Genomic DNA, 16,742 nt, shown 5'->3' with positions numbered 1-16,742 from the left:
CCTAAGAGACTCAAGCCAAGAGGCTCCCTTGAAAGACAGTAGGTGCTTTATTACCTGACACCAGCTTGGGGATACAATACTAAAATCTACCTCATTCCCCATTTAATTCTCATAATAGTAAGCAAGTCCATTAACATGGACTAAGGTTATAAAAGCTTAACATTATAATAGAAGGCAGATCCATCGAAGCTCAGCAAGATATAAAATGTCTTTTTTTATGGCATGTAAAGGCACTTTTGTCTTGCATTTCTATGATTGTATTAATACAATCTTACATTAAGGAAACATTTTAAAATAAAGAGTATAAAATTAAAAAAAATACAATGCAGAAAATCCAGCAGGAAGTAGGAAGCACTTGCATTTTCTCCAACCAAGCCCTATTTATGTCTAAGAAATGTATTAATTTCCTTAAAGACAAAATGGCTTGAATGTCAGCATGTTTACATTTAGACTTTATGTTCCTTCTTTTTATCTGGCACAGTGGTTCTGAAGCTGAATTACATGAGAATGCTACCCAGGAGTGCACACATGCATGCTGCTGATGTATATATGGATAATTACAGGGATTTTCAAAGTCAGAAAACACTTAGGACCTCTATTCCATGAAATCTGTACATCAGCATGGATGACAGGATGAGGAGGACCATAATGAACTGGCTATGAGATCATTGAGGTTGGATTCCTGAGCTGCTGAGCTTTTCATGTTTTTTCTACGTGAATTTAACAGTGCTGGTATTTTCAATCTGCATTCTTTAAACCAGGATCTCAAAGCCCCTTGCCAACAAATACTATTCCTCATTATTCTCTCAGGAGGTAGACCAAAAAGAGTTAAAAAATAAAAACAAGGCCAGGTGTGGTGGCTCACGCCTGTAATCCCAGCACTTTGAGAGGCCTAGTGGGCAAATCACCTGAGGTCAAGAATTCAAGACCAGCCTGGCCAACATGGTGAAACCCCATTTCTACTAAAAATACATAAAAAATTAGCCAGGCATGGTGGCGGGCACCTGTAGTCCCAGCTACTTGGGAGGCTGAGGCAGGAGAATCGCTTGAACGCAGGAGGCAGAGGTTGCAGTGAGCCAAGATTGTGCCACTGCACTCCAGCCTGAGTGACAAGAGCAAGACTCCAACTCAAAAAATAAAACTACAAAAAACAAAACAAAACAAAACAAGAAGCATATCTACATAAGAAAGAAGAGAAAATTGAATTTGAGGGAGTACTGGTTTTTCTTTCCATAAAAGACTTTAATGACCAATTTATTTGGCAAACATTATACTTAGCATTGATGTTTTGCAAGTCACAGATGCAGGATGAATGCTTTCAAACTGCCGACTTTTATAACTTGAAAGGGCCCATTTTAAAGTTGTGACTCATTTATGAGCCTGAAAATGCTATATCTGTATGTATGAATCAGACCAACTTGGAAGTACAAGTTTACAAAGTATTACATTGCCATCAACCACAAATTACAAATCCATTGATGAAATACTTAGAGTTTACTTGGCAACAGCTGAATCTTCAAGTGGTAGGAAATAATCTCATTATCCAATAACTATCCAGTATTCTGTAATAAATCAAGGTGGATATGTTTTCCCAGCACTGCAATGCATATTTTATGACTACTTTTACAACTATTAAAGAAACTTGATCCCAAGTAACATGTTTCAAATTTAAGTAAATCATCAGGAAATAGGCACCTCTAATGGCTAGTGCTGGGAAAGGAGTAGGCTAGGCCTCTGGGTGACTCTCCTGAAAATACAAAATAAAATCATGGCTGGCAGACCAGGAAAATGAGCTAGCACTCTAATATGTGGCTCCCTATTTCACATTCATCTTATGTAAATAATAAAAAAACACAAATAGAACAAGTGAAACTTTCAGATGCCATTCATCCCTTCCTCCATGACAACTGGCTTATGTTATATAAACAGATAAAAAACACTGAAACTGTTTTGAAATGGAAAACTTGAAAATTAGAACCCAGATCATTTAAGATACAGAGTTGATCACATATTGAATCTTAAAGTTCATTTAAAAGCATGTTCTACAAAGAGAAGTAATGAATACATGTGGTGTTAGAGGAACAGATTAAGTTATTAAAAGACATCCACTGCAATGCTAAATTAATTTACTAGATGTAAACAACTACCATCCTATTTTTTGTTTTATTGGTGCTCAGGAACAAGGGTATTCATTTTAAATCAGTATGTACAAGATTATATTCAATGCCCATATTCCATATGCAAGTGGGACCCCAAATTACATATTCTCTATAGGGATACAGAGAAAGTGGGACCCCAAATCTCATATCCTCTATAAATTAGTGCTAAGAGACTAGAAATCTGTCTAGTTACAAAATGAGATATTCTCTCATCCTACAGGAGCTTTCCCTTAGCAACTCCTTCATACTACTGATGTCAGAAGACATAACTGATCCTTGTGCTAAAAGCAGCTATTTTATATAAAACTTATGTTGTATATAGTTTTATTATGGGGCATGATTTGACTGTAATATTCCACAATATACCATATGTGATGGTTAATTTTAGGTGTCAACTTAACTAGATTAAGGAATACCTAGAGAACTGGTAAAGCATTATTTCTGAGTGTCTGTGAGGGTGTTTCCAAAGGAGACTGGTGTGTGAGTCAGCGAACTGAGTGAGGAAGATCCACCCTCAACGTGGGTGAGCACCATCCTGGCTGGGGGCTAGGACAGGACAAAAAAGGTAGAGAAAAGGTGAGTTCCTCTCTCTCCCGCCCCCTCTCTCTCTCTCCTGGAGCTGGGACATTCTTCCTCTCCTGTCCTTAGACTTCAGACTCCTGTCCTGTGCCTCAGAACTTCAGGCATTCCAGCCTTTGGACTCTAGGACTTGCACCTGCATCTCTTTGGATTCACAGGCCTTCAGCTTTGGACTGAGAGTTGCACCACTGGCTTCCTTGGATCTGAGGCTTTTAGACTTGGACTGAGCCACATATACCAGCATACCCTGTCTCCAGCTTGCAGATGGCCTCTCCTTGGGACTTCTCAGTCTCCATAATCCTGTGAGCCAATTCCTCTAATAAATCTCCTCTCATATATTTATATCTATATCCTCTTGGTTGTGCTTCTCTAACAGACTATATAATAATAAATTATGTTTCAACTGCATTTCAGAAATCATCTTCCAGGAAATTAAAAACGAAAACAAAATAATACAACATAGAAGAGTATTAGTGACAGGGTGACAAAAAATAGAGTGAAATCTACCTGGATTATTCTAATGAAAGAACAAAATATACTTTTAAGACACTGAATAGTAGACTCTAAACACAACTGAAATTGAAGTCTCTATTCCTCAGGTTCTCTATGCTAATTTGAGAATAAATACCTAATTTATTTTCATCTATCAGTTTTCAGTGATCACAAGAATTTATTCTTTATTCATCTAAAATGCAGTTTAGATTATCCAAAGGTATTCAAAAGTTGCATTATGCTTCTCCAGTTTGTCTGCTTTCAAAAAGAGCAAATTATTGTTAAGTCATTTTTAGAAAATGTTCCTTAACAAATGATACCTAGTTAATACATATTTAAGTGCCCTGAGAGATAAAATAATGGGAAAAGAAAGGACAATAGTTGGCCACTTTTTTAACCAAATGACCCTTTTCCATTCCAAACATTACCTGGAATCTCCAATTTATTATATATTATCACAATGTTTGCTTTTCTGCTTGGGAACACTACCACCTAAATACCTAACTCACCTTTGCTCTCTCTTTTCCTTTCCATCCCCAATTTGCCCCCTAACACAGCATTACAAACCTATGTCAAAAAGGAAAAGATTTCATTGAACACAGAAACATTATTTTGAATCCAAACTGTGCAGAAAAGTTCAATTTCTTTCTATCTCCAAAACTTCAGTATTGTCATATGTCAAGTATGTTTCCCAGAAAGCATGGCCAAATAAATACTCTTTTTCCCTCTTGAGGATTTCTAATGCATATACATATACTAAATGCTCTGAGAACTCTTACAGTGAAAAAGAAACAAAACTCCTTTCTTTGTGTAACACAGCACTGACCCACAATATCCAGTTCTACCTGTTGCAAAATAGCTACTATTCTTGCTCAGAAACGGTGCCCAGTAAAACACACTTTGGGGTGAATAGCTGCCTACGTACGCTATCTTTACAAAACTAGAGAAGTCTCAAAAGGTACAAGTCAGGATTGGATAATTCCCAATCTTCAGGACCCCAAGCTCTGAGTTTCAGGTTTCTTCTAAAACATAAATGTTCCTGAAATTTCTCCTAATACATTGTGATTAAATGCCTTGGCCTGGGACCCCATGAACATGAGATCGCTTAGCAGCACTAGGCCACACTTCTCAGCTGCTTAAGAGGACAGTGTTCTTCCTAGAACTGATGCCTACCTTAACACAAAGCCAAACCATAACCAGAGAAAGAGTAGATTACTGTGGTCTGGTCTGGGGAAGCTGCTTATTAACAAATGTAGGCCACAGAAATAATGCTAGATTCTTCCTTCTCTGCTTCCTCCTATCATTCACCAAAAAGAGAGAGAGAGAGAGAGAGAATTTTTATTACCTACAGGTAAAAAATTTCAGAGGCACATGATATGCCAGGGAAAATAATACCACAAGGAATAAATGCCTCCCATAGGATGCTCTCCCCATTAATACAGAACAATTTCTAGAAACTTATAGAAATCCTGAATCTTGTGCTCCTAGAAGGACAGGAATAGGTTTTTAATGCAAACTTCTCTAGAAAGCTGTTTCTCTTTTTCTCTAGCTCTTTCCTTTTAAAAAAGTCCAAAAATCTAAGTCTCTTTTTAGATATCTAATTAACTAAAAATAAAAATTTCTATCAGATGTGAATCTCCCCTTTTTACATGGAGAGGATGCTTGGATGGACCAAAGATGGAACTGGTAGGATTCATTCAAATCCAAATCCTAAACCAAATAAATAGAAAAGCTGTGTGTTATATTTAGTATTGTAAACTTCATATAAGAGGGGAAAAAAAAGGGTCAGAAAATAATTATCAAGGAAGCGTAAGATACTGGTGACATCATGTTCCAAATTGCAAATTTACGGAAAAACAATTTTTTTTTATCTTTGTATCTTACAAACCACAATCTGGAGAATTTGTGCAGCAAAATGGGAAGTTTAATAAAAACCAAATGTGGAAAATCTTCTATTAACACAATGCTGGTTAATAATTTTTTTTTCTTTTACACATTTGTGTAATGATAAAACGTTACGTTGGGAAGAAGTCTTAACAAGCCATTTAGTTGGCAAATGAATAAACTAAGGCAAAAAGACATGAGATGTTTGGCCTGAGGTCACTCAGCCCCTAAATTACACAACTGAGACTAAATCCCAGTGTCCCAATCCAGAGTTTTGGCCTCTGTCCCTTCCCCACCACACTGTCACAGATTTGTTTCCTTTATGTACCTGCTGGCTACACACTCTCATTCTTGCTATGAAATGAACAGTTTTCACCTTTTATTGCCTCTTTACATGAAAACAGCAATGGTCATCACCTCACAATCTGAGCATGTTAAAAAACACACAGACTTGGGGCTGCTAAGCGAATGTGGCACAGCTTGCCTTGGCATTCTGTATTTAGTGATAATGGGTTAAAACAGCTAAGATGAACTATTTTTGAAAAGAAAATATATGGCATGTACACAATTTTGAGGCTCTCTTAATTGGCCTTTGGAAGCAGATGCACTAGAGACCACCCATGGAGATGTATATATTGTCAGACCTGGCTATTTCCCTCATTGTTACATTGTTATGCATAATTTTTAATTAGGGCTTATCTTTATACAGTAAATAGGTATGTCAACTAGAGTTTTCCATATTTATTCTTCAACCATCATAAGGTACATCTGCTCCAGAAAATATCATAAGCCTGTAAATACCATGATTGCTAGGAAACAAAGCATTACCATAAGGAGTCTACCTTTCCTTAAAAAGAAAACGTTAATCCCTCAAATGGCATATTTACGCAGAGAAGTTCTAAAAAAACGTTCAGAGACATGATATTAAAAACTAGTCACTACCAAATTTCTGGTATAAACAGGTGGGCTCAACAAACATGCTGGCCTCAGCTCCTTCCCTTAACAACCTTAAAATGATTATAAATAATACTAAAACAAGCAGACAGCAAAAAAGCATGTAAACCCATAAGGACAACAAGAATGAATGACAGAAGAGTAGTTAAAAAAAAAAAAAAAGCTAGAAAGCCAGTCGACAGGTGGCCACTGACTTACCTGACATGAGAATGCAGAATTCTGTGGCAACAGTGGTGAAAAACCAAGAGGCAACCGCACATGCACTGAGAACCAAACCCCTCACCCATGACTTAGGCACTGTTGGCACCAGTACTTCTGCATGTGGGGATAACCATAGAGTTTCGAAAGGGAGGACAGGTTCAAAAAAGGCATAGAGGCAGTTAGACACACAGATGTCCTCTTCTGCTTTGTAGAAACACTAACTGTTCTTTCGCAACCTGGCAGAAGTCTGAAAATCTATTATCTGGAGACAGTACAACACAAGGTCTGTGGACCTACTGCAGGGCATCAGACACTGGAGAGAGCAAGCTACTGTACTGATACCAGGAGAACAAGCAAATGCTTGCATAGTAACTGTTGAGACCTCTTCTTTGCCCTGTGTTTCAATTCCCAAGACGCTGTCACCTCAGGCTTCTGCTTTCATGGCAGAAGAGCAGAAAAGACTTCCGATGCACTGGTCAGATGGTCAGAGAAGACACAAAATATGTAAAGGTATTGAAATTGCTGTTCTATGTCCCCCACTCAAATCACCCTTTAATAAAGCCTGCAGCTGACAAATTTGAAGTATGTATGCAAAGCTCCTAAAACAGAAGCCAAAACAAAAGAAAAATGCATCTTTGGGGAAACAAAATGCAAAGAGAAAAATTTCAAAAAGCCATAATTAACATCTCCAGAGAAAAGTTTCTATGAAAGAAAAGCATGATGCTATTAAAAAAAAGGCATTCAGGGATCAAAAATTAGACACTGGAAATTAATACACAATACAGAAGAAGTAAAATCCCAATAGAAAGTGTGAAAGATAAATTTGAGGTTATCTTCCATATATAGAGCAAAAACAAATGGAAAACTATAAACAAAGAATAAGAAAATTAGGGAATAATATAGGAGGGCCATTATCTACACAACAGAAAATAGGAACAAAAATCATTAAAGAATTCAGAAAAATCTCCAAAAATTGAAGGACATGAATTTCGAGATTGAACAGGTCCACCAAGTTCCCAGTACCATGGATTAAAATACATCCTTGTATTTTACAAGGATGCATTAAATTACATCCTTGTGTAATTTTAGAATACCAATACTAGAAGCCTCCAGAAACAAAATAAATAAAAAAGGAGCATGGCATCAGACTGCTAGACCCTGAATACCAGAAGAAAATGGATACTTCAATATTCTGAAGTAAAGTGATTTCCAATCTAGAGTTTTATATCCAGCTGATTACCAGTTAAGCATGAGAGAAGACTAAAGACTCCCATATCTGCAAGATCTCAAAAATATCTCTCTTATATACTACCTTTGCTTCAAAACTACTGGAAGACAGATTCCACCAAAATAAAGAACGAAGAAAGAGGGTGAAATGGGGTTCAAGAAAGGGGCTACTGAGCATACAAAAAAGGCAAAGAAAGTCCCCAACATGATAGAGATGCAAGTCAGAATGTTCCAAGAGTCATTTCTTCAAGGTGAAGTTGATGAATTGCTTAATATATTTGAAAAGAGTAAAAGGTATTTATATAATGTGAGAGAATTTAGAGATGATTTAGTGACAAGTATACAGAAAACTAAGCAAATAAAAAATGAGGCAACTATTTCTTCCAGAAAAAAAAAAAAATTGTGCAGGAAAGGAAAAATGATTACGATATATTATCTTGTTCAGCTACAAATGCAGTTTATACAGTAATAACAATGTAAACATAGAATATAGATTTTAGGGTTTATATATCTTACTGGGAGATAGGGAGATAAAAATCACTTTTTTGGGGAGGAGTGAAGTTGTGAAAGGGGTATGTTTATATACGGGGAAAAAAAAAAAACTGACTTCCACAGAAGAAAGTTAATAGATAGCTCCAAAACAACAACAAAAAATCTAGATGCAGCAACATAAGCAATTGTATTTAAAATACAATTTATTTTTGTATTTAAAATACAAAACTATAAAAAGCAGTTACCAAGAGAATGGCTAAACAGATTTAAAGTGAATGCTTCTGGAAAGCTGGAATGGGCTGGGGGGTGGTCAGGGTTCACTACCCTTTTTTTTTTTTTTTTTCCAGCAACTCTCATATAGCTGTTTTTCTTCCTTGAACTATCTGAGTGTATAACCTTGACTTTCAAAAGCCAAATTTAAAAAAAAAATATTCGGCCTGGTGCGGTGGCTCACGCCTGTAATCCCAGCACTTTGGGAGGCTGAGGCAGGCAGATCACGAGGTCAGGAGATTGAGACCATCCCAGCTAACACGGTGAAACCCCGTCTCTACTAAAAATACAAAAAATTAGCCAGGTATGGTGGCAGGCACCTGTAGTCCCAGCTACTCGGGAGGCTGAGGCAGGAGAATGGTGTGAACCTGGGAGGCAGAGCTTGCAGTGAGCCGAGATCGGGCCACTGCATTCTAGCCTGGGCGACAGAGCGAGACTCCGTCTCAAAAAAAAAAAACAAAACAAAACAAAACAAAAAAAACTACAAAGACTAACATCTGAACTTTCAACACTCCTAGAAATGTCTAAATCATTCCTATGTCTCTACTGTTAATTTCAACTTGAATTTTCTTAACCAAGGTCATGTGAGGGTACTCTGTAGCCCACTATGAGACAACTATTCCTGCTTATGTCATAAGTCTATTTTTCTTAAATGGCAAAGTTAACATTATTAACGTATAACTGATTAAGATCACTGAGCCACTCCTGAAATCTGAGAATATATGCCTAGGTCTAGACCACCAGAGCGCTGCAGACATTAAAACAAATACACATTGCCTGTTCTTACTAATTGTTGAAAGTTCAGTACAAACTAATACGCATACCCATAACCTCCTTATCAAGTAATCATTTGAAAACTATTATATACAGGCACTAAAACCAACAAACCGCTTTAAGATATTCCCTAAAGCCCAGGCATTTTGCATCAACACTGTTTGACAGGATTTCTGTCTCAACAACAAACAACGCTCATAAGCAATCAGGCACAGAAATGACTCAATATTACCATTAAACTCACATTTCCAATAAAAGTGTCCTGTACAATTTCTAGGTCTCCAAATTTTGGCACAAAATTATAAAGGCAGCCCTCTACTGAAAACTGATCAAATTAGAAAGAAAACACACAAGCATGAAGGCATTTGCTCTACGAAAAAATCTTCAGAAAAGCTTTGTCACAGTCATTTCAAAGAAGCCTGTCAGAAAATCCAAAATTTTTAAGAGTGAGACACTACACGTCTCAAGTCTAAAATTTTTTTTTTCTTACTTGTGAAGATACCACATGGTAAATTATGTTCTCAGGAAAAGAAACAAACTTACCTTTCACAAGCTCGGACAGTCCATGCGGCAATTATCCATAATGAGATACTAAAAACCAAGAGTACAGTTCCTGGGCATATAGTCATTAAAGTCTTCATAACAAAACGTGTATTGAAGTTTATCTTATTAAGTGCTCCAATGCTTCTAGAGGAGGCATCAGTGAAAAGTTTGCTATGTAAAAGCATGACTCTGGCAATCAGATAGAGTCTTAAGAACATTGGTATAGATAAAATAATATCCACATCAGCGGTGGTTGTGGATGGGGCATAGGAGAAGGCAAGCCGGGCCGTCCATGTGAATGTATAATTCCCAGGTATGGGATGAATAGCACACACCAGTATTTCCAAGCAGATGAAGAAAATACGCTCATAAGTCATGGCTATTCTCCAGTCATCTGCTCCATTGTCCACCATGAACAACTGAAAAAATAAAGTAGAAAATCAGCTTCAGTATGGCATGAATGGTCCACAAGTGTTAGTGCAGATTTTAAAAACACACAACAGATGACTTTTAGCAATCATGGCAAGCTAAAGGTTATAACTTTTAAATGCTAGCCAGGTATACTATTTTTAGTAAAGGGTATTGGTATTCATTTTGTACAAATTAAATTAAAAACTTGGTACTCAGGAGCTAAAACTGTTTTGAAGTTCAAAGTTCCTGGACAATCACGTAAACATCATCATTTTAAAACAGGGGCTTGAGCCTATCAGTCATGAAAACCCCCTCAGATGAAGTCGAAATGGACTCGCCTTATAACAAGTTGTTTTCCTCTTTCAGTCTGGATTTAAAGCCTTACACAATTCTAACTATATTCTCAGTGAAATCTATTTAGGGTGCCTCTGCAATCAGTTATACCCTATAATGCAACAACACATGAGCGTTCTTACAGGAAATCTTATTCTTGGCTTCAGAGAAAATCACAAGAGACCACAGACAAATGTGGCAGAAACATTTCTTCCAGTTTCCCCACGACTACTCTATTTTCTGTCTCTTTTCTTCTATTCGTCCATAGCCTTCCCTTGGATTATTCATTTACTTTCAATCTTTATTTAATAAAGTTCCCTTTTTCCTCCTGTTTCTGTCATTCCTTACACCACAATCAATGAAAACAAACAAAATTTTTTAAGAAGAAAAAACCAGCGAGAAAGCAAAGTAAATAAATAGATATATAGATAAAGAGTAAAAGGGACAGAAAAGAGTATCTTCCTCTCTTCCCTGGCTCTCTGTAAACAAGTCCTCCAGGCCCTGGCAGTCTAGAGACAACCAGAAGCATTTGGAAATGTGTGATGGCTTTTCTGACTGCCACAAGGACTTGCAAGGGATACTGACACTTAGGGCCCAGAAGCCAGGGATGCCAGCCATGCTTCAATGCTGAGAGTCCCACGTATTAGGAAGACCTTTGTTTTGAGAAGCTATATATATTCCAAAGATACTGTCATTGCTGCCTTTGGAAATTACTATCAGGGACTATTACAAGTCACATAAATAAAATAGCACTGTTCTTTAAATCCACATTTCCATTCTTACCAAAAATGTTATTATCCAGCTTGATTGTCTACTTTATTTACCAAACTTGACCCTGAATGACCCGGCAGTGTGCAAAAATCAAATCCACTTCCAAACGGGCTAAGAATCACCAAGACTCCAAATAGTCAAAAGCTGTGTGGCAAAGTCCCAGCTGAGTTCCAATAAAGTTATTCCCCATAATGTTTTGGACAACAATACAAACTCAGGATAAATACTTTCCAAGGTATTTATCTGGTAAAGAAATGTCAAGTCTCAATGTATCACTCCGATATACTGCTTACAAATAAGCCTCCTCCTTCTAGGACTGGCCCTCCTTCCATTCTCCCCAATGCACTTGCTCCTCGCACCTCACTCTACTCTCTTTTTTTCAGGCCCTTTTCACTACTCCTCTGCTCACTTCCCTAACTAGGCTGGTTCTCTCTATTGAGTCTCACTCCTTCAACCATAATCCTACTGCCATTCTCAGCAGCATCATCCTTTACCTTTAGGTGATCCTGTCCAGGTAAACTCTCAATCTGGAACCTGATATCCAGGCTGCTGCAGGTGGCCTATGGCCACCACCCACCTGTGCCTTCAAGCTCAGCTGACCCCTCAGAGTCACCTTGTGATCATTCCCACATCCACCATGGGTTGTTTTCCTCGAGGGCCGCCATTGTTCCCCTTTCTCTCAGCATGCACTTTCCCCACAGTATCAGAGGAAATACCCTCTATTTGATACATTAGCCACAATCTTACCTACAGCCACACCCTTTCCTCCTTATTTCCCGTCCCTTTTGCTTCATGTGTCTAAAGCAATGTTTCACCAAAATCCAGTTCTCTTGCATCAATAGCCTATAGTCTAGTTCCTGTGCCTCTTTTCTCTCAGTAGAGTCTACAAAGTCAAACTTCTACTGTTGACTAAAAACAAAACACCCAAACAAAGAGAACCAGGGCTGGCTCCATGCCTACTCTAGGTTGTGTTTGTTTTCTCACTTATTCATTCTCAAACAACTTCCAGGCAGATCTTGCTCCCATTAACCTACCAAGACTACCCTTGCTAAGGTCACTAAAGATACCTTCATTATGAAATCTGATCCTCCCATCTTAATTTTTATCTCATTTGTCCTGTCATTCCTGCTTCCCTAAGAAGGATCTCTTTCCTTGGCTTCTGTGACATGTTGCTTTTTCCATCTGCTGCCACTCTTAAGGATCTCACTGTCTTTCTCTCCATTCTGTGTCCCTACTTGGTATGGTCTGGATGTGTCCCCACAATATTAACCAACACACTACCAGAGTCCATCTCTGACTTTTCTCTCACTCTATACTTCCCTGGGTAGTCTGATCCTTCACTCTCCATTACCATATTCCTCCTATCTTCCATTGTCTAATGACCTTTTTAAAATTTAATTCAAGATTAACACCATTCAAAGGCCCACCATGGCCTGATGGGTAAAATCTAATCTATACCCATAGCACACAAGCCATTCTGCAATCTGGTTTTGCCTATCTCTCCAACTTCATTGCCTACTATTCTACTTACATCTCCCTATAGTTGGAGATTCCAGAACACACCAACCTAATCATGCTTCTGGGTCTTCGTACATTCTGTCCCATGGCCTGGAAAGTCTCCATCTAGCAAATTTGTATTCCTTCAAGACCAAACTCCACGTCAGCTCCTCTAGCATGTAGTAGATGCCCTGTAAAAATCTGGAAACTCCCTCCTTTGTTCCACCATGATCCTCATATGTGCTTCTTATTGATGCTGTCACATAAAGGACAATAAAAGACTTCTTAATAAGACTGTCTCCCCTACTTGTTAGTGAGACTCCGTGTCTACCTAGTGGAGGATAAGAAATGCTTGATAAATAAACTTCCTTGTTATTTCTCAGTTAACAGTGACTATCCTAATCACTGGATAGGTCCTAATATCAATTAAATGTGCTTGTGGAAGCTGAGAATACCGAAGCATAATGCAAGTGAATGTAAGACACATTCACCTAAATAATAAGTCATTGCAGCAGCATAATTTTGCAGTTCCATAGAGTCCAGATAACTTTCCTCTTTGGTAACTTCCTCACTAAAATGTTCTATTACATAGTTGTTTTTTTACTATCAAAGGTCTTAATACCTGAAATTTTTTTTTATCATAGCATATATTTTAATGCTGAAATTGAGGAAAAATATTTACTTGTATTCTCCACATAATCCTGACCCTCAATGTTGCTTGTTTATTCATTTACTTATCCAGTGTACTAAATACTATGTGCCAGGTATTGGTCTACATACCAGCCATACAGCAGCATTTATGATGAACAGAGAATCTGCCCATTGAAACTAACTTTTGCTAGGAAAAAAAAAAAAGAAAGAAAAAAAAAAACATAGTCAAGAAAGCAGACGTAAAGAAATCGAATAAAGTAATTACGCTTTTGGACATTGTTATGAAGGAAAGAAACAAGAGATGAAATAGAGAATAATGCATTAGAGATGACAGTAGATGTGGTCATCAGGAAAAACCTCTGGATAAGTACCATTTGATGCAAGATCTGGATTAAGAGAAAAGCCAGTCATGTAAACAACCAGAGGAATAATATTCTAGGCACAGGAAACAGCACATGTAAAGGCCCTGGGCTTCATAAAAGCTTAGCATACATAAAGAAATGAAGGAACATCAGAGTGGCTGAAACTTAATGATCAAGGGGCAGCATGAAAGGAGATCAGTCTGGAAATAAGTTTGAAGAGACTAACTGGGACCAGATAAGCAGGCCTTTGTTGACCCATGGTATCCAAACAGGATTTCAATCTAAGCCAAGTGGGAACCCATTGAAGGGTATTAGGCAGAGGAATGATGTGATCTGATTTATAGCCTGAAGGGCTCACCCATACTGCTCTGGGGAAAACAGGGTGAAGAGGGGCAGTTGTGGAAGGAAGGATAAAAGTTAGGAAGCTCTACTGCATTTGATTGGTTGTTGTACCTCGTCACCTAAATTGGGGGACTGTCATGGAAATGGAGACAATGAGTGCACTGGACATAAAGATCTTATAGCATACCAAATTGTCTGGCTCACAGCTAAAGCAGTGTTAAGAGAAAAGTTTATAGCACTAAATGCCCATGTGAAAAAGTTAGAAAGATCTCAAATTTAAAACCTAACATCAACCTAGGGAAACTACAGAAACAAGAGCAAACCAACCCAAAAGCTAATAGAAGACAAGAAATAACCAAAATCCAGGCTGAACTGAAGGAAATTGAGAAGCAGAAAACCATATAAAAGATCAACAATCAAGGAGTTGGCTATTTGCAAGAATAAATAGATAGACCACTAGCTAGACTAATAAAGAAAATAGAGAAGATCCAAATAATCACAATCAGAAATGACAAAGGGGACATTACCACCAACCACATAGAAATACAAAAAAAAAAAACAAAAAAAAAAACCCTCAAAGGCTACTATGTACATCTCTATGCACACAGGCTAGAAAACTTAGAGGAAATAGAAAAATTCCTGGAAACATACAATCTCCCAAGATCGAACCCAGAAGAAATGAAATACCTCAACAGACCAATAACAAGTTCCAAAATGGAATCAGTAATAAAAAGCCTATCAATCAGAAAAAGCACAGAACCAGAGGAATTCATAGCCGAATTCTATCAGATATATTAATATAAGTAAGAGCTGATACCATTCCTACTGAAGCTATTCCAAAAGATTGAGAAGAAGGCACTTCTCCCTATCACATTCCAGGAGGCTAGCATCAACCTGATACCAAAACCTGGCAGAGACACAACAAAAAAATAAAACTTCAGGTAAATATCCTTGATGAACGTTGATGCAAAAAATCTCAACAAAATACTAGCAACCAGAATCCAGCAGCACATCAAAAAGCTAATCTAACACAATCAAATACGCTTTATCTCTGGGACGCAAGGTTGGTTCAACACATGTAAATCATTAAACATGATTCATCACATAAACAGAAGTAAAAACAGAAATCACATGATCATCTCAATAGATGCAGAAAAGGTCTATGGCCATACTACCCTGAACACACACAATCTCACCAATACGTGCAGAAAAGGCTTTTGGTAAAACTCAACAGGCCATCATGTTAAAACCCCTCAACAAACTAGACATTGAAGGAACATACTTTAAAATAATAAGAGCAATCTATGACAAACCCACAGCCAACATCATGCTGAAAAGGCTAAAGCTGGAAGCATTCCCTTAGAAAACTGGCACAAAACAAAGATGTCCTCTCTTACCACTCCTATTCAACACAGTACTGGAAGTCTTAGCTAGAGCGATCATGTAAGAGAAAGAAATAAAATGAATCCGAATAGGAAGAGAGGAATTCAAACTATCCCTGTTTGCAGGTGACATGATTTTATACTTAGAAAACTCCATAGTCTCTGCACAAAAGTTCAATGATTTAATAAACAACCTCAGCAAAGTTTCAGAAAACAAAATCACTCTATAAAAACCAGTAGCATTCCTATACACCAATAGCATTCAAGTTGAGAGACAAATCAAGAACACAATCCCATTCATAATAACTACAAAAAGAATAAAATACCTAGGAATACAACCAAACAAGAAGATGAAAGATCTCTGTGAGGAAAATTACAAAACACTGCCCAAAGAAATCAGAAATTACATAAACAAACGGAAAAGCATTCCACGGATAGCAAGAATCAGTAATGTTAAAATGGCCATACTGCCCAAAGCAATTTACAGAATCAGTGTTATTCCTATCAAACTGTCAATGACATTCTTCACAGAAATAGAAAAAACTATTTTAAAATTCACATGGAACCAAAAAAAGCCTGAATAGCCAAAGCAATCCTAAACAACAACTACAAAAAAAAAAAAACAACAATACTGGAAGCATCACATTACCTGACTTCAAACTATACTACAAGGCTACAGTAACCCAAACAGCATGGCACTGGTACAAAAACAGACACATAGTTCAATGGAGCAGAAATACAGAGTTCTACAGAGTGCAGACATAATGCGACACATCTACAACCTTCAACAAAATTGACAAAACCTAGCAATGAAGAAAGGACGCCCTATTTGATACATGGTACTGGGAAAACCGGCTAGCCACATGCAGAAGATTGAAACTGGATTCCTTCTTTATACAATATACAAAAATCAATTCTAAATGGGTTATAGACTTAAATGTAAAACCCCAAACAATAAAAACCCTGTACTATAACCTAGGAAATATCATTCTGGACATACGACCTAGAAAAGATTTCATGATGAAGACACCAAAAGCAATTGCAACAAAAACAAAAATTGACAAATGGGACCTAATTAAACTAAAGAGTTTCTGCAGAGCAAAGGAAACTATGAACACAGTAAACAGACAACCTATAAAAAGAAAGAAAACATATGCAAACTATGCCTCTGACAAAGGTCTAATATCCAGCATCTATAAGAAACAAACAAATTTACAAGAAACAAACAACCCCATTAAAAAGTAGGCAAAGGACATGAACAGACTTTATTCAAAAATAAGGCATACATGCAGCCAACAAGCATATGAAAAAATGTTCATCATCACTAATCATCAGAGAAAGGCAAATCGAAACCACAATGAGATACTATCTGACACCAGTTAGAATGGCTATTATTACAAAGTCAAAAAATAATAGAT

General features: G+C 37.4%; 1 protein-coding gene across 6 annotated transcripts in view; it reads right to left on the bottom strand.

Annotated features, from left to right (window-relative positions):
• Positions 1-16,742, bottom strand: part of KCNN2 (potassium calcium-activated channel subfamily N member 2) — a 440,519-nt gene that overhangs the window by 82,065 nt on the left and 341,712 nt on the right. For 4 of the 6 annotated variants that reach the window (XM_047417166.1, NM_001372233.1, XM_011543389.2 and 1 more), the window contains one exon: positions 9,576-9,994. The exons of 1 other annotated variant lie outside the window; for it this stretch is intronic. In XM_047417166.1, coding sequence (XP_047273122.1) covers positions 9,576-9,994 — 419 coding nt within the window. Of the gene's footprint in view, positions 1-6,266; positions 6,371-9,575; positions 9,995-16,742 lie in introns of those variants that run through there. One more of the 6 variants, XM_017009457.2, reaches the window with a different exon arrangement.

The sequence above is a fragment of the Homo sapiens genome, chromosome 5, assembly GCF_000001405.40.
Source record: "Homo sapiens chromosome 5, GRCh38.p14 Primary Assembly".
Classification (NCBI taxonomy): Eukaryota; Metazoa; Chordata; class Mammalia; order Primates; family Hominidae; genus Homo; species Homo sapiens.
This window is presented reverse-complemented; position numbering and strand designations above follow the sequence as displayed.